Source organism: Homo sapiens, chromosome 5 (genome assembly GCF_000001405.40).
Source record: "Homo sapiens chromosome 5, GRCh38.p14 Primary Assembly".
NCBI classification, from domain to species: Eukaryota; Metazoa; Chordata; class Mammalia; order Primates; family Hominidae; genus Homo; species Homo sapiens.
The window spans coordinates 128,266,327-128,291,187 of NC_000005.10; the positions used below are offsets into that span (position 1 = coordinate 128,266,327).

A 24,861-nucleotide genomic window follows, 5' to 3' on the forward strand; every position below is an offset into this window, starting at 1 on the left:
TTAGGGATATCTGCTCATGTATTTTTAGTTTTGGACTCATCTTAAACCATTTATTCCTCTGCTCATGGAGTTTCTCCTGATTAGAAGGCAAACCGGCTTCTGGCTGGACTCCATTGCGAGCTCCTTTGGGGGTGACTGCCTTGTCAAAGTGCTCACCCCAGGATCTCATAAAGGGGAACTGGGATACACCACACCATCTTGATTTTAAGTCAGACTATTTTAGATAGAGCTTCCACATTTAGTAAAAACCTGTGCAGCTCGTTTTGTGCTAGGTGTTCAGAAACAAAAACTTCAGGAAACTGAAACACTTTGAAATTAAATTGGCACTCCATGCATTTTCCTATTTCTACTTTTGTTCTCCTTAAAAAAAATTCTGTTTGATAGAGAATCATTCTTTTGGATTAAGGTCTATGGAATTAACCAACAAGTCCATGGTATTTACTAAATAAAGTGGTGGGCTTCATATTTTATAAATATTGTAATATAATAAAATTGTTTTATATTATTATTATATTTATTTATTTATTTAAATTTTACTTTAAGTTCTGGGATACATGTGCAGAATGTGCAGGTTTGTTACATAGCCAAGTGTGCCATGGTGCTGTGCTGCACCTACTGACTCATCTTCTAGGTTACCTCCCCTCGCCCCCCAACCCCCAACAGGCCCCAGCATGTGCTTATTCCCTTCCTTTCCCTGCGTCTATGTGTTCTCGTTGTTCAGCTCTCACTTATGATGAGAACATGTGGTGTTTGGTTTTCTGTTCCTGTGTTAGTTTGCTGCGGATGATGATTTCCAGCTTCATCCATGTCCCTGCAAAGGACATGCTCTCATTCCTTTTTATGGCTGCATAGTATTCCATGGTGTATATGTACCACATTTTCTTTATCCAGTCTATCATGGGCATTTGGGTTGGTTCCAAGACTTTGCTATTGTAAATAGTGCTGCAGTAAACATACGTGTGCATGTGTCTTTATAGTAGAATGATCTATATTCCTGTGGGTATATATCCAGTAATGGGATTGCTGGGTCAAATGGTATTTCTGGTTCTAGATCCCTGTGGAATCACCACACTGTCTTCAACAATGGTTGAACTAATTTCCATTCCCACCAACAGTGTAAAAGTTTTCCTATTTCTCCACAGTCTCACCAGCATCTATTGTTTCTTGACTTTTTAATAATAGCCATTCTAACTGGCATGAGATGGTATCTCATGGTGGTTTTGATTTGCATTTCTCTAATAATCAGTGATGTGAGCTTTTTTTCATATGTTTGTTGGCCACATAAATGTTTTTTTTTGAGAAGTGTCTGTTCACATCCTTTTCCCACTTTTTGATAGGGTTTTTGTATTTTTCCCACAAACTTGTTTAAGTTCCTTGCAGATTCTGGATATTAGACCTGTGTCAGATGGGTAGATTGCAAACATTTTCTTCCATTCTGTAGGTTGCTTGTTCACTCTGATGATAGTTTCTTTTGCTGTGCAGAAGCTCTTTAGTTCTTTGAAACCAATGAGAACAAACAGACAACGTACCAGAATCTCTGAGACACAGCTAAAGCACTGTTTAGGGGAAATTTATAGCGCTAAATGCCCATGTCAGAAAGCTAGAAAGATCTCAAGTCAACACTCTAACATCACAGTTAAAAGAGCTAGAGAAGCAAGAGCAAGCTAATTCAAAAGCTAACAGACGACAAGAAATAACTAAGATCAGAGCAGAATTGAAAGAGATAGAGACATGAAAAACCCTCCAAAAAATCAATGAATCCAGGAGCTGGCTTTTTGAAAAAATTAACAAAATACACCACTAGCTAGACTAATAAAGAACAGAGAAGAATCAAATAGACACAATAAAAAAATGATAAAGGTGATATCACCACTGATCACACAGAAATACAAACTACCATCAGAGAATACTATAAACATCTCTATGCAAATAAACTAAGAAATCTAGAAGAAATGGATAAATTCCTGGACACATACACCCTACCAAGACTAAACCAGGAAGAAGTCGAATCCCTGAATAGACCAATAACAAGTTCTAAATTTGAGGCAGTAATTAATAGCCTACCAACCAAAAAAAAGCCCAGGACCAGATGGATTCTCAGCAGAATTCTACCAGAGGTACCAAGAGGAGCTGGTACCATTCCTTCTGAAACTATTCCAAACAATTGAAAAGTAGGGACTACTCCCTGACTCATTTTATGAAGGTAGCATCATCCTGATACCAAAACCTGGCAGAAACACAACAAAAAAAGGAAATTTCAGGCCAATATCCCTGACGAACATCGATGCGAAAATCCTCAATAAAATAGTGGCAAACTGAATCCAGCAGCACATCAAAAAACTTATCCACCATGATAAAGTCGGCTTCATCCCTTTGATGCAAGGCTGGTTCAACATATGCAAATCAATAAACACAATCCATCAAATAAGCAGAACCAAAGACAAAAACCACATGATTATCTCAATAGATGCAGAAAAAGCCTTTGATAAAACTCAACATCTCTTCATGTTAAAAACTTAATAAACTAGATATTGATGGAATGTATCTCAAAATAATAAGAGCTATTTATGACAAACCCACAGTCAATATCATATTGAATGGGCAGAAGCTGGAAGCATTCCCTTTGAAAACTGGTATAAGATAAGAATGCCTTCTCTTATCACTCCTATTCAACATAGTATTGGAAATTCTGGCCAGGGCAATCAGGCAAGAGAAGAAATAAAGGGTATTCAAATAGGAAGAGAGGATGTCAAATTTTATCTGTTTGCAGATATCATGATTCTCTACTTAGAAAACCCCATCATCTGACCAGGCGCAGTGGCTCATGCCTGTAATTCTAGCACTTTGGGAGGCCAAGGCGGGTGGATCACTTGAGGCCAGGAGTTCGAAACCAGCCTGGCCAACATGGTGAAACCCCGTCTCTACTAAAAATACAATAATAATAATAATAATAATAGTAATAATAATAATAATAATAATAAACTAATAATAATTAACCAGGCATGGTGGCAGGCGCCTGTAATCCTAGCTACTAGGGAGGAGGTGGAAGTTGCAGGGAGGAGGTGGAAGTTGCAGCGAGCTGAGATCGTGCCACTGCACTCCGGCCTGGGCGACAGAGTGAGACTCCACCCCAAAAAAAAAACAAAAACCCAACAAACCATTGTCTCAGCCCCAAAACTCAAGCTGATAAGCAACTTCAGCGAAGCCTCAGGATACAAAATCAATGTGCAAGAATCACAAGCATTCCTATACACCAACAATAGACAAGCAGAGAGTCAAACAATGAATGAACTCTCATTCACAATTGCTACAAAGAGAATAAAATACGTAAGAATACAGCAAACGAGGTATGAAGAATCTTTTCAAGGAGAACTACAAACCACTGCCCAAGGAAATAAGAGAGGACACAAATGAATGGAAAAACATTCCATCCTCATGGATAGAAAGAATCAACATTGTGAAAATGGCCATACTGCCCAAAGTAATTTATAGATTCAATGCTATTCCCATCAAACTACCATAAATTTCATATGGAACCAAAGAAGAGCGTGTATAGCCAAGATAATCCTAAGCAAAAGGAACAAAGCTGGAGGCCTCATGCTACCTGTCTTCAAAGTATACAACAAGGCTACAGTAACCAAAACAACATGGTGCTGGTACCAGAGCAGACATATAGACCAATGGCACAGAACAGAGACCTCAGAAATAAAACCACACATCTACAACCATCTGATCTTTGACAAACCTGACAAAAACAAGCAATGGGGAAAGGATCTCCTATTCAGTAAATGGTGCTGGGAAAGCTGGCTAGCCATGTGCAGAAAACTAAAACTGGACCCCTTCCTTACACCTTACACAAAAATTAACTCAATATGGATTAAAGACTTAAAACCCTAAACCATAAAAAACCCTAGAAGAGGCTGGGCATGGTGGCTCATGCTTGTAATCCCAGCACTTTGGGAGGCTGAGGCGGGTGGATCACCTGAGGTCAGGAGTTCAAGACCAGCCTTGGCCAACATGGTGAAACCCCGTTTCTACTAAAAATACAAAAAATGAGCCGGGCATGGTGGCAGACTCCTGTAATCCCAGCTACTCAGGAGGCTGAGGCAGGAAAATCACTTGAACCCAGGAGGCGGAGGTTGTAGTGAGCCAAGATCATGCCACTGCACTTCAGCCTGGGCAACAGGGCGAGAGTCCGTCCTAAAAAAATAAAAAATCCCTGAAGAAAACGTCGGCAATATCATCATTCAGGACACAGGCATGGGCAAAGACTTCATGACGAAAACGTCAAAAGAAATTGCAACAAAAGCCAAAATTGACAAATGGGATCTAATTAAGCTAAAGAGCTTCTGCATAGCAAAAGAAACTATCATCAGAGTGAATAGGCAACCTACAGAATGTTTTACATTATTTTAATAGCTATGTAAAAAATACTGTTTCTGATATTCTAAAGAGTGTGCCATACACTTTGCCTTTGTTTATGAATCAATAAATCTGGGCATAAGGAGTTCTACAACAGTTTTTTTCTATGAAGAGGAAAAAAAAGTGAATTAAATTTATAAAGTTATTTTGAATAACTGCCTAATTGGTAATTTAAATAATTTTTTGAAACTGTCTTGTCTTTAACTTTTGATCACTTATTGGTTTCTGCATTTCTACACTCCTATGAGTGTATATTCGTGGTGTGGTAAAGCATCTGTCTTTGACCTGGCATGATTTTCCCTCCACTGAAATTTATCTTGATTTTTTGTTCTTAATTCACTTAGCTGTCACTAGAAATTTCTTTTGAGAAGACCACAAAGGATAAAATCAGACTAATTTATTTAGTGGATCACAATAATTCAATATGTGAATAACCTGTGAAGTAATTTGAATTACTACACAGAAACAGGAAGCATCCTGATATTTCTCTGCAGGACCACAGTGCCCCTTTCTGCTCAGTTATGCCAGCACCTAGCATCAAAATGTGTTGGTTGGAGTGTCTGTGAAGCGCATTCAAAAGGAGCCAAGAAATTAGGCATATGCTAAGTAAGTCACCTGGCTATCCAAGTAGAGAATAATGTTCTCTTTGATCAATCACTCCTTAAAAGGAGAATTTCAGCGACTATTATCAATGCAAGGAACAGAGCTGAGAGCCACGTATTTTATTTTACAAACACTTCTGTCTAGAGCTGCCAACAGCATTTGCTGTAAGTAGGTACTTTTTCAACCTTAAAACACTTCCCATCCTTTATTAAATCTATGTGACAGGAGAGCACACATGGACTGTCCTCATTAAGTTGATGTGAACTCCTTTAGATTCGTATGAGGGGAATGGATGGGAAATCTAAATATATTAAATTACAGACAAAAAAGTGGCTGACCTTCGCAAACAAAGATGATGATTCTTGACATCATCTTCAGAAACTTAAAATTACTTAGCAGATATTTAAAATGAAGTAACCTCTAGTTAAGTTAACTTCCCGGTACTTAAAAACAAACTTTTTTTTTAATAGATATTTTCAAACATACACACTAGCAGAATGAGTCCCCATGCATCAGTCTTAAGGACTGGGTTTAAAGTCTAAAATTCAAAGGCTATACTGAAATCTCAACCCTCACAATTTGTTCATCTTATTCAGAGACACTTTCAGGTGAGAAAAGCAAGTGCGATGGAAGAAAAGAGCACTCACCGACACACTGATTCCACTGGTAGTGCTGGATGTAGCCTTGGGGGCAGCCACATCTGTAGCCACCCAGGATGTTCTGGCAGCCGTGTTGGCACCTGTGGTTCCCATCACATTCATCAACATCTGCAAAAACAAGCCCGGCAAAACCTTTATGTCACCTTTCTTCTACTATTTTTAAATGCACTCCAAACGAAACCTGGGGTAACTGTTATCATGGGAACAAACAAACAAACAAGACATGACACATAGAGAGGCTGTCATTTTTCCAGGTCACATGGTTATTAGTCAGTGGTGGTGCAGGGAACAGTTCTGAGATAAGAGACCAGCTCATTCTTCTGCTCTCCACCAGACCACGGCATGTCAGTGCTCTAAATAACATCTCAATTTCAGCAAGTCAACCATAGCAACCACAAATGTTGTACATTTTGAACTAATTAACTGCAAATGGTATGATTTATTTGGTAAATCATATATATATATATATATATATAAAATATATTTGCATTGCATAGTCCAGTAAGTTTGAAAGTGACTGAGATACAATCCTCATTTTTGGGAGGATAGAAGCATTACAGAGATACCTAAAAAGTACAATTATATTGCACGTAAAAATTTTTATTACCATTCAAGATTAATTAGATGCAAATCCCTCTTAAGTATTTAAATATGTTATTTTTAGACAAGATGTGGTATTATTATACATGTGGAATAATTTCTTTATTTATGTATGCTTTTTTGGAATGACAACCGAATATTTGAAATCTATCCATAAAGAGTAAAATAAAATTGGCATGTCTGAGGGGTGTAACAAATTTACATGGATAATTAATAAATGGTATCTTATGGGGATGGTCACGAGCTGAACTCGCATGTGGCAAACAGCTGTAGGTTAAGAATACTTTCAACGTCTCAACGATTTGAAAGATAAAATATTAAAATTGACATTTTAAAAACTGAATTTTTCTTTGCTGAAAATGAGATACATATAAAAGCCCCACAAGCCTTACAGAGAGCAAATTAAATACTTAACATATATTTCTAGAAATCCAAATCATATATTTCTAAGAATAGTTAATGTTAAAAGGGTGATTAAAATCAAGAAAACTATAAATTGCAATACGATATAAGAATGTAAGGGAAATAAATATAGTCTCATAATCTCTGGCATGGGTGTTTATAAGACACTAATCCTAATACATTTTTCTTGTCATACACTGCCACTTGCAATATAAATAGTGAAGAACTAGATGAAATTTTCTTAACTGCAAGCATGTTCTTATTTTGTTTCCACTTAAATGTTCCCTTGGATTTTACAGGAAATAGTTATTGCAGAGGAGACCAAGGTCCACTGTAAGAAAGTGAAGGAGTGAAGCGGGAGCTTGACTCGTAAAAAACAGAAACAGCCATCATTTCACCTTAGCGTGTTCAGTACATTTGTTCAATTCTCTCTGATGACAGATTCTTTTTATATTTAATTCTTATACATTTAAGAATCATGGAACAAAAGGCCAATTATTATTTTTTTCTGGTATGCTTGTACACTACCGCAAACCATATTAGGCACAGAATTCTTTTTCAATTCAATTCTTTCTCAGATCCATGATTAGTCAACAGTTACTTTAAAAGTCAATTCGTAATCACAGAATTTTTGTTTCACTGCATTTAGGTTTCCCTCTGTCCCCAAAGTGATACATAGAAATTTATGACCAGGAATAAGTTGCTGGGTCCTATTTTGTTCAATACTTTTTTTTCTTTTTTTCAGATTATACCAATTTGTCTTGGAAGTTAAAAATATATATGGTTTACTGTTATTAGATTAAGAATTTTTGAGCAAATCAACTAACCTTCACAGTTCAGTCCGGTGGCATCAAGAGAGAACCCTCTTTGGCATTCACAGCTGAAACTGCCTGGAGTGTTTTGACAGATTCCCTTTGCTCCACAAAGCGAAGGTTGAGACCCACATTCGTTGTTGTCTGGCAAAGCATCAAGAAGCAGAGCGTCAAACTTTCCAATCATAACATGTCTTACGTTTCATGGGAAGTAAAAAGCAATGTATGAAAACCTAAGTTTCATGATGTGAAAATGGCATTTTGGGAAAATTTATACCAAAATTCACTGTCATATTAAAGACAAAAGTGGTAAGAAAAAGTGTATTTTAAGAGGTTTGAGATTTGAGCATATTTTGGAGTGATTGAAGGCACACTGACTAAAGTTCCTTAACATGTGTCTTCTAAAATAAAAGCTCAATATGTTTGTTAACATGTTCTAAATTACAGTGAGCCTTTAATCATATTTTGTCTGAACACCATGGTTGCATTAAGAATGTGATATAAAGGCACTGCTTGAAATATGGCTACTGTGCAGGTGCTTGGACTAAAAAGGCCTTTTTTTTCCCTTTGGATATTGTTCTTGAAAATATCTATCTTATTAGCAACTTCTTTAGACCACAAATTATGGGGTATTGGTTACTGAACATAAATACCAGGACATTCTTCTGTTTATAATTTTAAATATAATTTTTATGCATCTACTAGAAGTTTGTAAAATTTCCCATTTGTAACTTTGTCTTACCGATACAAGCAGTGTGATGCTGTGTGAAACCAGGTGGACATTTACAGGTAAACCCCCCCAGGGTGTTGACACAGAGGAACTGGCAGTTATGCTGCTTTGTTTGACATTCATCAAGGTCTGAAATTAGAGAGAAGCCAGTGAAAATCACAGTAGACTATCTGGCTATGTTTCCTTTCTTGTGAAGCCACAGGAGATGCACATGCTCCATTAGAAGCATTTTGTCTAGATTTTTGCTGGAAGCTTCGTAGATTTCCATAGGCATATGGCAAACAGTTTCTTTTTACATATTTAAGCAGAATAAATATTACGGGCTAGGATGATAGGACAATTAAGGCAATATATAACATAAGAAACTGAATGGCAGAATCATAGCAGTTTCCATGAACTGTTCTCAAAGCTACTATCCAAAGGTTACAATTCTTGCATTGAATGCAGTATAGTACATGGCTGATTACTGATTCCTATTAAAGGAAGGATTAAATAAAAATGAAACAGAATCTAGAAACTGATGAAGGTCCGAACAGAAACACTAAGAGTCTCCACATTCAGATGAAAACACGGGCATTAATATTAGAGGAAGCAAAATACAACACCTGTAATTCTAGTCACAAATGGTATTGATATTTGGACCCTACTAATTAAAAACTCAAAATTTGATTTTGGCTATACTAAAACTTAATTTGGAAACTATATTTAAAATAAATATACCACATAAGATGTAGGCAAGACTAATTTATTATTTTACAGCTTAAAAAACGCTTTAGTCATACTCATTTTTTTTTGATATGGAGTCTTTAGTCATACTCATAAACAATGTACAACTGAACATAAACAATGTTCAGTTCACTAAACAGGTCCAAGCGGTGCTTGCTATTATTTTTTTTTTTTTTGATATGCCTTGGAAATAAAACCTCATTTTACTGAGAATAATCTACATTTTAAAAATTTGCTCAGTCCATTAATTTCATTCTGATGAGGCTTACTATAAAATCAAATATATGAGTATAGTATTGAAACTATTTTAATGATCTAATTTAGCTTGATAAATAATTACTTTTGATACTACCTAAGCAAAAAATTTAAATTTACCTATCCATTTTCACTTTTCCACAGTAAACCTGTAATAAAGGTAGCTTAGAGAAATAAAAGCTTAGATAAGCAACAACAACAAATATCTTATTTCAGTGATTTGTTTCGATCTCTTCCCATACCAAAACTTTTGTTTTATTTTATTTTTTAAAATTTATGCAGTTTTCTATAAGAAGCAAACTGTTTTAACTTGGGTTTTAATCCTCTCTGCTTCCTGCAATGAGCATATTGGTAGAGTTTTTCTATGAGCAATAACATGGCCACTAGGATGGGACCTTTTAATGAAGGTGATGCACATGGCATAATTCCTGATAATCTAATATTTAAATTTGAAAGAAAAGATACAGACTAGGGTCACGATTGTCAGAGACTCTTCACTCACCTTTGCATGTCTTTCCATCCTCTTGCAGGACATACCCCCTCGGACATGAACACTGATAACTCCCCTCAGTGTTCTTGCAGATGTAGTTGCATGGTTTCGGGGACTGGGAGCATTCATCAAGGTCTAAGTAAAAGTGATGTGAAGATTAAATTACTGGTTAAAAGAAACAACCAGACTCTTTCCTCCTTCCATATTCTCACTTCATTCTTTTTGTTTTTCCTGTTCAACTTAAAGTGGAATATAGCCAGAGAGAAATGATGCACAGAAGGATTTTTTCTAAAGTAACATGCGGGTTTACTTTGTAAATCAATCTATGGATCTTGGGTAAATATTATGATGTCTAGACAACTGTCTGGGTCCAAAATTACTACATTCTTTAGATTAATATACTTTGGTTTACAACCTGAGAATCATAAACTTAATAAGAGTTTCTCTGTTTTTGACCCATGGATGTGGCACAAGTTCTTTTAAACTCTCTTTACTGAGGCTCCTTTAAGCATCTTGTGGGATCACAGATGGTGCTGGAAACCTTCCACTTTCCCCTTCAGATTCAGTCCTCACCCTGGTCCACTCTGCTCTCAGGCCCAAGAGATGGAGCTCTACAGACTCCATCCGGAGGCTCTCCCTTGCCCTCTGTCTTCTGTCTGGCCCTTATTTCCTCAACTCCCTCCCTGCAAGATAGGCTCAGGCTGGCTGAGTCACTGGAGCAGCTGTCAGAGGTCCTCTCAAGGCAGTCCTCTGAGCACAACTTTCTTTTTCTAGGTTCCAATAACTTCTGACTCTTTTCTTTTGGCCCAGGGGTAGTACAGCCCCAGCACACAGCACTACGCCTCCTGGCTTTTGTGCACACTGCTCACACGTGTATAGACAGTCTTTTTGTTAGACCCTCCTTGAATTGTCCTCCTTGAAATATGCCATCTCTTTCCTACTCGGACTCTGAGATAGCAGACAATCTCCATTTCCTCCATATAACATACGGCGTTGATGCCCACAGAATGCTGAATGCTTATGATTAATGGCCTATTCTCTATTACTCATGCTCTTCTGTTTCAAAGAAGTCAGTTGGGTTTTCTTAACCTTTTAATGCCAAGTGTGCTTGTTATTGACATAGGTAATTTGATAGAATATCAAGTAAGCTAATGAAATATAAAGGAGAAAAAAAATTTTTTCTTTAATAAAAATGAAGTTGAATACTTTGGAAAGACCCGACAAAAGTCTAAGTCCTTTCTGCCCCACGACTGTCATATATAGGTGTGAGTGAGACAATAAAAAACCGAATAAGAAAAATAAATTGTAAAATGATAGAAGGATTCTGTACTGAGACTGCTCCGCAGCTGGAAATTTTATTTAGGTAATGCTTACTTGGTATACTTTATGCAAAATAATAGCAGAGAAACATGGAAAACATTCTCTTAATATACACAAACACACATATTCATAAGAAAAAGCCCTTTTCCTTCAGTCAAAGAGTGACAAACAAATGTGCACTTTAAATTTTAAATTAAAATATAAAATGTTGAAAGTATGTATTTGTGATTTTTGTTTCTCAGGTTTACAACCTGAGAATCAGAAACTTAAGAGTTTCTCTGTTTTTGACACATGGATGTGGCACAAGTTCTTTTAAACTCTCTTTACTGAGGCTCCTTTAAGCATCCCACATTACTGGACAAAGGCCAAGTGCTGTGTGATTAAGAAGCACATTATTGAGAGGATGGCAACATTTTAATAAAATATATATTCCAAAGCTCCATAATAAAGACACTCTACTGATAATGAGTGACTTGCAGGAAACAGTAGCTGATTAGCCCCCAAACCCCTGGATATAGAGGTGCCCATCGTTACCTATACAAGAGGTTCCACTGATGTCTGTGGTGTAGCCAACCTTGCAGAAGCATCGGAATGAGCCCATGGTATTGATGCACTGACCATTGGTGCAGAGGTTTGGCATTACCTTACATTCATCAATATCTGTGGACCAAAACAACAAAAACAATCAGGAGTTAACATATATGCAAGGGTAAAACTGGTTAGAATCAAAGAGAAATGAAGAAATGGAGATGACATAACTAACTGCAAACATTCCTAATAGCACTGGAGCACCTGTTCATCATTCAGGTGAACAGCAACATGGATGTGATGGAAAAATAATCTCAAGTGATGGGAGGGGATAAAGGGAGACTCTGGTGAAAGCCCTGTTTAAGACTACCCATTTTGCAATCTAAGCATGAATGATTTTGGGGGGAATCTAGAAAGCTACCCCCTCAAAGTCCATCCCTTAAAAAGTGTGTGATCTTGGGAAAATTACTTATTGTTACCTTAGCTTTGTGCTTCATTTTCCTCATCTGTTAAAATGGGAATAATACATTCTACCCCTTAGGTCTGATACGAAGATTAACTCCTAAAATCTCTAAAGCATTAGCAAAGATTATTCTTTCTATATACATATATATGAAAACACACATCAAATATAAATATCAAGGTATAAACATTTTAGCTACTCTTTTGATTGTATCAATTTTTCACTTTTCCTTCACATTTATCTGAATTCATAAAATTTAATGTGTTGATTATATGAATAAATTTCCTCAACTCCTTACCTCTTCCATCAGTTGTATATCCTGGGCCATGAGGACATATCTTTTTGTACTGGGCAGTTCCAGGAAGTGGGCAAAGCTCGCACTGGTGGCCCCAGCCTCGCCCACCATCACAGCAGCATTCTGACTTAGTGACGAGATTGCGACTACTGGATGCCATTTGACATATTGTCTGCAGTACCTCTGCAAAGCAGAGACCCTGTCGATTGTCTGAAATGGCAAAGTAGAAAGAGTTAAGGATGCGGAACTGACATTTCATTATCCTGGCTTTCAAATTAAGCAGGGCAGTCAAGAATTTCCTCCTTAGGAATAATTAAGACAGCTTAATGTCTTAATTATTTAAGTTTTGCTGGCAGTTAAGTTCATAGCATATTCTTTCACTACAGACTACAGTCTATTAAATTTGACAAAAAGTGATACTATACTTTAGAAATAGATAGATTTTTTCCTCCAATCCATTGCCAACTAAATGATAGTGACCTACCATTTCTGTAGAATACAAGTGAAAGGAAAATCAAATTAAATTATTTTCCTTTAAACAAATGAGTGCCAGGATTAGTTTCTGGAAAGCAAACTCTAGACTATATTTTATGAGCTTGGTACTTATTCAATCTGATATCTCATATTTTCTACATCTGAAAGACTGTTCAAACACTTGGACTGAGTAGATTTTATAAAAATATAAATAAAATTATTTTTTTCAGATTTAAAAGCCAATTAAATCTTTAATACAGTTTTATAAACAATCCTAGCCAAACTGTTAATAAAATGAACAGAAAATTACACTTTATATGTAGGTTACTTTTCCTATTTCCTAAAAGACTGATGTTAGTTAGTAAAGGTATAGATTAGAGATAACAATAAACAAAAAATGTTTTTTTGATCAAAAATTTCTTGGAATTTGAAGCATATGACGTCATTCAGAAAAAAATGTGATATAGTTGAAATACTCTTTTTATGTTAAATCAAGTGATGAGTCAAACAGCTTAGCGCTCTTATTTCTTTGTTTACCTTGAATTTTACTACAGCACACTTTTTGCAGCTGCCATAATTAACTACAATGATTTATAATGTATGCATTTTAACATTAAAATAAAATATAATGTCTGAGATGTATATTTCCCATAAAAAGGTTTTATAAAACATTTTTTTCTGTACCACAATATAAAAAGTAACCTTCCCTGCATTTTTGAAATATGGCATTTATTTTGCATTAATTGTGGCAGAGCTTACCTCATATTGCAAATATTTTCTTTTGGAATTAAATCATCCTCTGATGTAAGTTTTACTAAAGCCAAATTTTCCAAAGAACTTAATTAATCTTAATTTTGGAAAGACTATTTAAGATTGTTATTTACATTACACATAGATGTGCATATAACACACACATGTACAAATATATCATTTTAATAGATGTGCATCTTTAAGAAGAAGCATGTGGATTATTGAGATTGGGGGATTTGTTTAGCAGACAAGAATATATATGTGGAGCTCTTCTGTGATGACATCATGAACAGATGTTTTATCTACCAAGTATAATATATTTGGATGTCAACTTACCAAGGCATTCAGTGCCTGAAGAACTTGACTGGAATCCTTCATTACACTCACATCTATAGCTTCCAATAATGTTAACACAACGTCCATTTTCACAGATTCCTGGCTTGGTCCTGCATTCATTTTCATCTTTAGAAAAACAAACAATATGAATAATGAGAAAACTGTCAAATTATAGTTTACAAGCTATCTTCTAATGGGTTATATCTTATTTAACACTTCTTTGCCAAAATACTAATATGATGAGATTAAAAATGGTCATGTGTGAATATTAATTTATTTTTAGCTTTACTTCATCCTTCTTGGTGGGTTCTTTCTTAAGATAATGTTGTCTTCTTCTTTCTTTTCTTTATCCTCTGCAGAGAAGGGATAGTGTTAATATATAGAATTGAAAATTGGCCTCCAAAAGGAATAGAATTGCCCTGAGACACCAGGCAAGGATGGGAACTCTGGGGAAAAGAATGTCAGTTTCTGTGATATTAGAGAAAGGTGTGGGGAGAGGGATGGTGGGTGTTGGGTATGGGTGATGAGTACAGTAAAAGCCTCACAGGCCAGGAATAAAGGACAAGCTGCTAAATTGGTTTTGAGTAAAATCACAGGAACAACTATGGTCTGTGAGGGTAGTTAATGGGAGAGGCAGTTTAAGTAATACTGCTCTTTTGGTTGGTGATAAATAAACCTACTTCAACAAAATTGTTTTCACTAAAATTCTCTATATCCTTACTTTTTGTGCTTTTTTGATATTTTGTAAATTTTGTTTGAGGTTTCTTTCAAAGCTGTGTTGTTAGGAGCATAAGAGAGCGCATGACAATTACATCTTTTTGATAAATGGCTCCTTTCATCTTTATACTTAAAATTTTTAAAAATTTACTGACATTTATATTTGCATGCACTTTGCTTTTATTAGTATTTGCCTTGAATATTTTTATTTTCAACCTATCTCAGATTTCAATTTTGGTACTACAATTCTATTAAAGAGAACCTAGCAGAATTCTTAAAAACACATTTATCTTTTAACCAGCAGTTTAAACCACTTATATCTGTCATGATTACTGATATGTTTAGAGTCTCACCTGACATTTTATATTGTTTTATATTTACTGTGGGATTGCCCTCTTCCTATGCCCTCCTTTTCCCTATGAACTCATATTTGGAAGTCACAGTCTTCTTTCAATTCTTACAGTGGAAACCACTGAACAACTTCAACACACATTCTTAATGAATAATTTTCTATCAATGCCAAGAAGTATCTGTTTTGAAAGCTCTCGGCCATAGTAAGCACCTTTGCATAAATTTACTTATCTCTGCTCTCTCCCTGAACCACCTGCCATGTTGATGTTATCTAGAAGTTTTGGTTTGTTAGATTTTTAGTGTGCCATCAGCATCTGTTTAAATTAATGAGGCTTACTGGTTTCTTGGCTCACCATTGGTCCACTTATATTATTTCTTCCACTTTAATTAATTTAAAAAAATTAGTGTATGTAGTTTGGTGATTATTTATTTATTTATTTATTTGAGACAGAGTCTCGCTCTGTCGACCAGGCAGGAGTGCAGTGGTGCAATCTTGGCTCATTGCAAGCTCTGCCTCCTGGGTTCACGCCATTCTCCTGCCTCAGCCTCCTGAGTAGCTGGGACTACAGGCGCCCGCCACCACGCCCAGCTAATTTTTTTATTTTTATTTTTAGTAGAGACAGGGTTTCACCATGTTAGCCAGGATAGTCTCAATCTCCTGACCTCGTGATCCGCCTGCCTCGGCCTCCCAAAGTGCTGGGATTACAGGTGCGAGCCACCGTGCCCGGCAGGTAATTATTTAAGAGGGCTATAAGTATTCTAAAACAGATTTCTGACCATGTCTTCTTTTGTTTTCATACTTGATTGAGTATAGCATTTTAGTTCAAAATTATTTTCCCTTAGAATGCTTTCAAAATACAGCTCCTTTATTATTATTTTTTAAACCAGTGTTACTGTTCATTTGTAAGAAATCTGGTTTTTCTCTCTGGAAGTTTTAAGGATTTTCATTTTCTTCTTAGTGTTTTGAAATTCACCATGATGTGCCTCCTGTGATTATTTTTTTCCTTTTTTAGAAAAAAACACTTACTTCAGAAATTTAAAGGTATATACAAAAGTAATGAGTTATGAATTAAAAAGTTTTTTTAGTTTATTATTTCTAGAATCTGAGGGTGCAAGGTCTGTTGCCTTGGTCTAATCCTATCCTTAATGTCATTCACCCTGATTTTGAATTGTATTTGATTTGTCTGAATTATTTTTTTTCAAAAAGGGCTTTTGAACTAAAAGCGTTCTTGGAAGAACTCAGGATATACTGCCTGAGTTCTTCCAAGTTTGATTATGTATAATACAGTTTCTTCTGTAGTACATAATTTGTGCTTCAAATTCTTAGATTAATTTTGCTTTATTGACATTGGCATAAAGAATTACTGAGAAGAGGTTGAAAAAAAGTTGCCTGATTCTTTTTTCTGTTGAAATTTGTAACTTTAATAGGGTGTATCTTGGAGTGATGTTGCTCTACCTAAATAATGTTGATTTCCAGCATTGTACTTTCTACCCTTTGACAATTTGTGGGCTGCAGCAGGATTGTCAATTATCGACCTTTCCATTGTCCATCACTCTTGTCCGATGCTCCCCTACTTCTACCTACTCTATGTCCAATCCAGTGCAGCATGACAGCCTAGAGGAAAACAGGCTTCATTTCAATGAGACTCAAGACTCAAGACTCAAATCTCAAATGGGTACATGATCCTCCGTCAACAATCCTACTATACTTCTTAGTATCTTCACACTCTCACTTTCTAAAATGACATTACACACTCAGACACATCAGACATCTCTCCCCTATGAACCACTGGGCTATGCCCTCACTTTCAACCTTTTGTCTTCTTCCAACAGCTAAACTATCTTTGTTTTTTCTCCAAGGCCAGCTCTTGCACCGGTACTCTAGATTGCCTTCCCAGATTTCACAATACTCCCTTTTCAAGGAATCATTCCCTCAGCATAAATTCTCTAGTAACTTTCATCTTAAAACAATACAAAAAACTCTCTTATTCACCTATTACCCCTGTGGCTACTGCCACATGTATTGATTCACTTTCAGAACAAAATTTCTGGAAGAATGATCCATGGCGATAAATTCCACTTCCTCATCACTGATTGTTTCCTTAATGTGTGTGCTCCACTGAAACCTCCTGAAGAAGTCACCAAATCTAATTACAACTCTATGTTACTCTACATCTTAGTAGCATCATACAAAAGCGGCCACTTTAGTTCTCAGGACATCACACGGACATGGAGAACTTCCTATCTTGCTGGCTACTCTTTCTTAGTCTCCTAATATTTTTAGTCTCTCTAAATATTGGAACAACCAGAGTCCAGTGTCCTGGGAAGGAGCCCTGCTCCTCCTACTCTCCAGGATCTCTCTCTTGGTGTTCTCAGTCAATCCCATAATTTTTCAAACACTATCGATTTGCTAGCAATTTACATCTATGGCTCATAAATATGTCTGCTGACTTGATATTCCCACTTGGAAAGCTAGAACATATCTGACACTGAGCATGACCAAAACAGAACTTTTATTCTTCTGTGTCCCCAACGAAACCTGTTTCTTCCAATCTTTTCCATATCAGTTAACAGTAGCATCAAGTAAATTATTATACTAAGCTAATTTACTTTAGTCACTCAAGCAAAAATCCTGGGACTTATCTTTTATACATATTCAATCAATCCATCAGAAATCCAATCTGTTGATTATTTCCAATACATTTTCTGAATCTGTCCACTCCTTTTCCACACTATGGTGGCCCTAATCTGAGCCTCCTTTTTCTCTCGTCTGGATGTTTAAGACAGTCACCTAAATGAAACCCTTGTTTCTGCTACCACCTCCTTCAAATCCATTACCTATAAGGCAGCCAGATATCTTTAAAAATGTGTAAAATAGGAAATAACAACTAATACTTAATTGAAATTTTACTCTATGCCAAGCATTGTACTAAGGGTTTCATGTGAATTTTTTAATTTAACCCTCCCAATAATCCTATGAAAGTGTGCTCAAAATTCCTATTTGTTTTTACATGAGGAATCTGAGGCACATATTTAAGCCAACTTGCCCAGGGTCACAGAGCTAGCACACATGAACCTAGATTGCTAACATTCATAGTCCATCCCCAGGGCCCATACTCTGAGTCACTCTGCCGTAACACTTTTAGCATAAAACCAAATTCTTTTCCATGGTATTTGCCTACCTTTAGACCCACTTCATGCCACTCTCCTGCACAAGCTTCAGCTACACTGGTCTTGTGTAATTACTCATCTTTGAACAATTTTCTCCAGTTCAGCTACTGGCTGAAAAATAGTGTAGCTGGTCACGGGTCCTAAAGTGGGCCTAATGTGTAGTTTCAATTCATGTTTGTTGTATGAACATCCTCTCACCAAATCTGCCATGCTCTCTACCCTTGAGGCACTACACTCGGGCTTTCAGGTAATTTAGGGAGTCGTGTGGCTCTGATAAAGTTCTTAAAGCCTTAGAATCTCTGATAGTTGCTGCTTCTCCTCTTCCTGCCTCACCTCCGGCAGTCTCCATGTCTAGAAGACTAGTTTGTTGATAATTAAATAGCATCCCAGTATTTTCTCCTTTGCATCTACCTATTTTCACACTGCAGTGTAGAAATGGGTCTCTACAAAAACACTCCATACTTTTCTCATTTGCTTATGTCCCTGATCTTCTAATCAAAGATTGTTGGATAAACTTTAAAAAATTGGGACAGTCTGCCAAAGTCTAAAGAAGAAAATTTAATGATCTTGGTAAAAAAATGTTCTACTTATCAGATTTCTTGATTCATTTATTTGTTTAAGAAATAATTACTGAGGCATAATATATTGCATAGTCAAGTTTCCGTCTCTGATTAGGTTTATGGTTTTCATTAAAGAGGTCTTAGATTTCCTGTATAACTTTAATTCCCTTAACTGTAATACTTTTAGTTTCCGTTGCAATCGACTTTTTTGGGTAAGTTTGATTCCAATTTCATGCATTGGCATTTTTATTGATTTTTTTTGTGGCTTTATTTTTCATCCTGACTTTTGTAAATACTTTTTCTTTGTAATAATATTTTTACTGTTTTTAAACTGGAATTTCTAGTTGTGAAAACACATTGTTTGCATGAAAGTGTTCTACAAAGAGTTTTGTGATGATCAAAAAAATTTTGCAGACATTTCAGCTATCAGCATGGTATAATGAAAAGCTTGAAGATCAGAAAAGTTTCAGAACCTGTATCTTTTGTAGTGCTGTTTAACAACGAAAAGAATACAAATGTAGAATGCTGCTCTTGGTCTTTTCTTTGAAAAAGTAAGTTCAGAGGATGATAGAATTTTAGAGCTAGAGCAGATGCACCCTTCCCAACACCCACCCCCACCACTCCTATCAATCATGCAGACTAAGTTTCTCACTGTATGCAGATGAAGGAACTGAAGAACAGAGAATTGAATCACTTGCAAGTCATCCAGATCATTTATGGCAGATCCATGACCAGAAACCTGTGTTCTTAATCTGATCACAGTGCTTACTCCCTCTTTCCCAACAACATATCTTTAAATGTAATAAAGATAGTATAATATAAAATTCAGCTAGTTATAAAAATAAGAAATTTCCATGCATAAAAATTAAAACACATTTTTAAGTATTTTAGCCAATCTGATTAAACATAGCACATACATACATTGTTTTCATTCAAATAAATTAAAAGAGAAATGAATGAAAAGAAATTTCATGTACAGTAAGAAGACACGATGATTAAGAATGCTGATTTCCTTTCTTCCATACATGGTTATTAGCATTTTGCCCTGTGCTAGATTTGGAGGAACACATATGACTTAGGAGTTTAGGTTAATCTTCTGGGATAACAGATCTTGGAAGAATAGTGTTTTTGAAAGAATCACTGCATAACTACACCTCCTATGTACGTCTATTTTTAACTTTATTAAGTACTATATTTGAATGAAATATCTAACAAATGAAAAGAAACTAAAAAATCCAATTATAATTTGTTGTATATATAATTTTTTATATGACACATGTAATTCAGAATAGTTCAGAAACTCACTCTTTTGTAAAATAATTAAAATTGACAGATACAGCTAAAATCACCTCAGACTAGTTACTTCTAATCTCGATGTCTTCCCTAGCAGTAATTCCTTCTATGAATTAGGGTTTACCTTTTTCAATGTTTTTCTATATATTTACTTGGTTACATATGTACCTACAGAACACATATAGTTTTATTTACAATTTTCTTTAAAATATGAAAAATCAAAAGGGCATGTATTCTTGAGCAGGCATAAATGCCACAATCCAGAACCTATTATATTAGCAGAGACCCTGAGATGGAAGAAAGCTAGCTGTATCACTGCCTTAACACAGCTGGAAAAAGAGTTGGCTTGCAGTTAAGATGATGTGGGAGTAGTGCCATTAATGAGGCTGGGAGTGGAGGCATTACATAAGCAGACACCTTCCCTTACCGCTTACCTACACAGCCTTCTCCATCGGGCCTTCGGGCCATTCCAGGAGGGCAGATGCACATGAAGGTGCCGATTAGATTCTTACACATCATGCCCCTAGATTCACAGTCGTGTAACCCTTCAGCACATTCATCCAGATCTAGAACAAAAAATAAAAATTAAAAATTATCTGGAGCAAGCTGTAGTTTAGTACTTTTAAGTCACAGGTGTGGTCTTCTGACACTTAACATGTAATTTTATGGTGGGACAGAGAAAGGAGAAGCCCAGCCATTGTCAGCTGTTGGCTATATTCCAGATGTGTAAGTTTCAGCACTGCTCATAGTGATAAGAAGTTTAGGGAAGGGCAATCTTTGCCTTAATAAGAATCCAAGAGTGTGAGAATAGTGGGCTTCTCAACCCATCTTATCTCGGACTTGATTTTACAAAAATACCATCATGTGTCTTGTTATCTAGGTATGGAAATCTACTAGCAAAATGCTGTCATATATATATTTCTGTAAAGCTCTAGAAGAAATTAGTTGAGAACTATAAAATCATTAAGATGTATCTCCAGCATGACAAATAAAGTTCGAACTACTCCCGAGTCTGAGGCCTTACCTTTGCACATCTTTTGATCTTCCCTGAGGGCATAGCCAATCGGGCACGTGCATTCATAGGACCCAAAAGTGTTCATGCAGCGGAAAGCACACAGCAGTGGGTTCTGGGCACATTCGTTGATATCTGACCAAAGGAATGGACAGGAATGTGCTCAGCCTAGAGTTCTAATTATTTGTGTAACTAAATGTTGATGTCATTTACTTGGCGGTCATACACAAAGCAATAGAATAGTAGAACTTACACATCTGGTACGCAGAATTTAGTACCTAACAAACTCATCTTTAAAAATAACAGCTATAAACTCCGGAAAGAATATAAAAAGTACCTGAAGTTTTTAGTGGTGAGCTGAAACTCAGAGCAAACAACCAGTAGGGAGTAATTTCACATTGATTTGGCTTCTATTTTTCTGAAATTACCCTCCAGATGACCATGGCCTGGCAGTGCTGTCATCTGGTAGCTAACTCTCCAGAAGAAACTTTCTGAGATTCCATCCAGAGGAAGGAGGGGAGGGAATCTTAGGGCAACCAAGTCTGCTAAAGAAAGGGAACCCAGGAAAGAATGCCAGGGAAGGAGAAATACTATTTGTTTTTCATCTAGTCAGCTCAAGTGGCATGACTGTACTATGCATGTGTGGGGCAAAATCAAGAATGCTAGTGAGTAAGGTTTAAAGAACTGACAGATGAGCCACCGCCCTTCTGAGGCCTGAGGGTCTGCTATTGTGCCTACCAGAGTTGACTGTCTGCTAAGACAAATACATCAATATTCTTCAGAGTAATATAACTGATTTCGAAGCATATCATTCACAATATCCAGAGTATAAATCCAACATTAACCAATATACTGAAAAGGCAGGAAACTGTGACTCCATTTCAAGGGAATAGACAATCAAGAGATGCCAACCCTGAGATGACCCAGATGCTGGAATGATCAGACAAGGGCTTTACAGCAGCTATTTTAACTGTACTAAAGGAAAACTAAAAACCAACCAACCAAACAAAAAACCCAAAAAACAAAAAACCCCACCGTATGCTCACCAGCAGAATATCAGAAGCAATATAAATAAATATTGAGACATTAAAAAACACTTTCTATGTCAAGAAGAAATAATATTTAAGACAAAGATCACTTGCCTTCACAATTCATCATGGGCCCTGGCTCAAAGCCTTCATTGCAATTGCATTCAAAACTCCCAATAACATTGGTGCATGTACCATTTCCACACGGATTGCCGATTGAACACTCATCAGTATCTGAAAAAGAAGAATAAGAAACTGCCACAAAGATGTTTTAGTTTAACAGGAGAATGCCCAGGAAGACCCATGCTTGGCCCTCACCCATTTCCAGGATCTGAGAAGGGCACATGTAACCCTGGCATCCCTTGGGCCTTGGCTGGCTGGCAGCTATGTAGTGCAGAGGGTCTGAAGGATCAATGTGCAATGCTCTGGCCCCCAGGCAGCAATACTCGCCCTAAAGATGACAAATCCAGAAGAAGAATGTGGTCCTCTGCTTCAAGAGCAGGCATGGAAGGGCATAAAGTAAAATGGATTTCTTATCCAATGAGAGATTTTGGCAATTGTAAGTCTCTAGGACACATAAGATTTTGTATGTTTGGTTGAAGACAGAGGTTGTTAACTCTCTCCATCTTCACATAAATCAGGTCTGACTGGAAAATGTAAGACTGGTGAAGAAGGTGCCACTACTAGCTATTTATCCTGGATTTGTAAATCCCCCCATCACCCAGGGTACCTGAGAGACCTTTTACTGAATATGAGAAGTAAAATAGAACTTTAAAATTCTGTAATGTGGAGCCAACACTCACCCACACAGCGTACTCCAGTGTAGTCAAGGTTGTAGCCCATTGGACATTCACAGCGAAAAGATCCGTCGGTGTTGATACATTGACCATTTGAACAAATGCCTGGGCTCTCAAGACACTCATTGACATCTAAAATATAGAACTGCATGTGAATTTCCTCATATAAAAAGATATGCCGGCCAGGCGCAGTGGCTCATGCTTATAAATCCCAGCACTTTGGGAGGCCGAGGTGGGTGGATCACCTGAGGTCAGGAGCTTGAGACCAGCCTGGGCAACATGGCGAAACCCCATCTCTACTAAAAATACAAAAAAAAATTAGCCAGGCATGGTGGCGCACACCTGTAGTCCCAGCTACTTGGGGAGACTGAGGCAGGAGAATCACTTGAACCCAGGAAGTGGAGGTTGCAGTCAGCTGGATCGCACCACTGCATTCCAGCGGGCAACAGAGTGAGACTCCACCTCAAAATAAATAAATAAATAAATAAAATAAAAATAAAAAGATATGCCAGTACTGTGTATGTCTATTCAACACAGACTTGTAAATACTTCTTTTGTCAGAGAAATATGTATTTCATATATCACGATATAATCTTATGATATATGTATAATGTATATGATACAAAATAAGGGTTATATACATCCATTAAATACAATATACTATATGTTACATAGTAAAGTTAGCATGAGTTATAAAATAAATGTAAAATAATACGTGTGTATTAAATAAGAATATAGGAATAAAATATATCAAAGCGTACCTTCACGTGTATCATGAAGACTAGGGACAGTTCCATGGCCATATGGACACAAATCCTGAAATGCAACTACAAAGAAAAATACAAATTCTCCATTATTGAAGACTTGAAATTATCAAAGAACTTAAGAAAGGATGAACAATATACATGAAATTACACTTAATTATGTTTCCATTACAAAGCTGTCTATAACAAGACTCTTTTATTTTTATGATTTATTTCAAAAGCATATTTAGTGAGGGCCACCTTCTAGGGTGCCACCTGCTCAGTGCTCCTGGTTCTTTCTGTTTGCTCATTTAAAGCTGAGCAGCTAAAGAGAACTTCCCTGCCCATCACACTCAGAAGCCATCCCTAACCCAGAGGCCAAGCCAGCTGGAGTTTGCTGGGAATTATCCTATAATTTATGGGTGCCAATGAGACCTGAGGCTATTGATCTTTTCCTGTAAAGGGCCATTGTGCTGACTCAGCTTCTCAGAATTTAATGTAACATTCTGAGAGCCACAGCCTGTGATACAATGCCCACATGGGACTCCTGGAGCAACCTGGAATATAATTTCCATTCCCTTCTTTCTCCTGCCTTGGACCTCTCAAATTCGTACTTTTGAAAGCAAGTAATACTAACCTTGGAGGTGGGGAATGAAATAAAAGGGTAACTCCACCTGTGCTTAGACATGTCTTATTCAAAAGCTGAAAGAAGTTTCTCAGGCTAGGTTGTTCAATGAACCATCAAAACTTATATGCAAGGAGATGATTTCACTCTCAAAATATTCTTAAATTACATGGTTAAACCCACTCTGGCAAACATTCAAAAACTGGTACACAAAGTGCTGTCTGATGATGTCATTGCTCTTACCTTCATCGTCTTTGGGGCACAGCTCACAGGGGTCCCCCCAGCCCTCTCCTGGCATCTTACTACAGCAGCATTTTGCTTTTGTGGTGTTGAAAGCTTTGGGTACAGAACACTTTCCATTTTCAAAATTTGTGAAGCAGAAGCTCTGGCGAGTATCTAATCAAAAAAGCAAACATTACAGATGGAATTATTTTGTAACACTGTTTGGACAGAACATTTCTCATTGTAGAACACGGGATGCAGACTAGATCAGCAGTTAAGGCAGGTCTGGAAATCTTCGATTGCTGATTTCATTTGCCAATTTAGACTGACCTGGCTATAAAATTATTTAATTATTTAATATGCTTAAAATATTTTTATAATGTGCTAAGAAAATTCGAGAAATCATGCTCAGTATCAAAGTGATTTCCACACAGAGTCTCTTTTTTCACTGTTGCATGATAGTCTAAGAAAAACAAT

General features: G+C 36.7%; 1 protein-coding gene across 2 annotated transcripts in view; it reads right to left on the bottom strand.

The window, feature by feature from the left end:
- FBN2 (fibrillin 2) overlaps positions 1-24,861 on the bottom strand; it is a 280,337-nt gene that overhangs the window by 8,418 nt on the left and 247,058 nt on the right. For both annotated transcript variants that reach the window (XM_017009228.3, NM_001999.4), the window contains 13 exons: positions 24,406-24,558; positions 23,556-23,621; positions 22,801-22,926; positions 22,112-22,231; positions 20,982-21,104; positions 20,392-20,523; positions 13,866-13,991; positions 12,309-12,515; positions 11,554-11,679; positions 9,712-9,834; positions 8,241-8,357; positions 7,514-7,642; positions 5,673-5,792 (listed from right to left, as the gene is read on the bottom strand). In XM_017009228.3, coding sequence (XP_016864717.1) covers positions 5,673-5,792; positions 7,514-7,642; positions 8,241-8,357; positions 9,712-9,834; positions 11,554-11,679; positions 12,309-12,515; positions 13,866-13,991; positions 20,392-20,523; positions 20,982-21,104; positions 22,112-22,231; positions 22,801-22,926; positions 23,556-23,621; positions 24,406-24,558 — 1,668 coding nt within the window. The remainder of the gene's footprint in view (positions 1-5,672; positions 5,793-7,513; positions 7,643-8,240; positions 8,358-9,711; positions 9,835-11,553; positions 11,680-12,308; positions 12,516-13,865; positions 13,992-20,391; positions 20,524-20,981; positions 21,105-22,111; positions 22,232-22,800; positions 22,927-23,555; positions 23,622-24,405; positions 24,559-24,861) is intronic.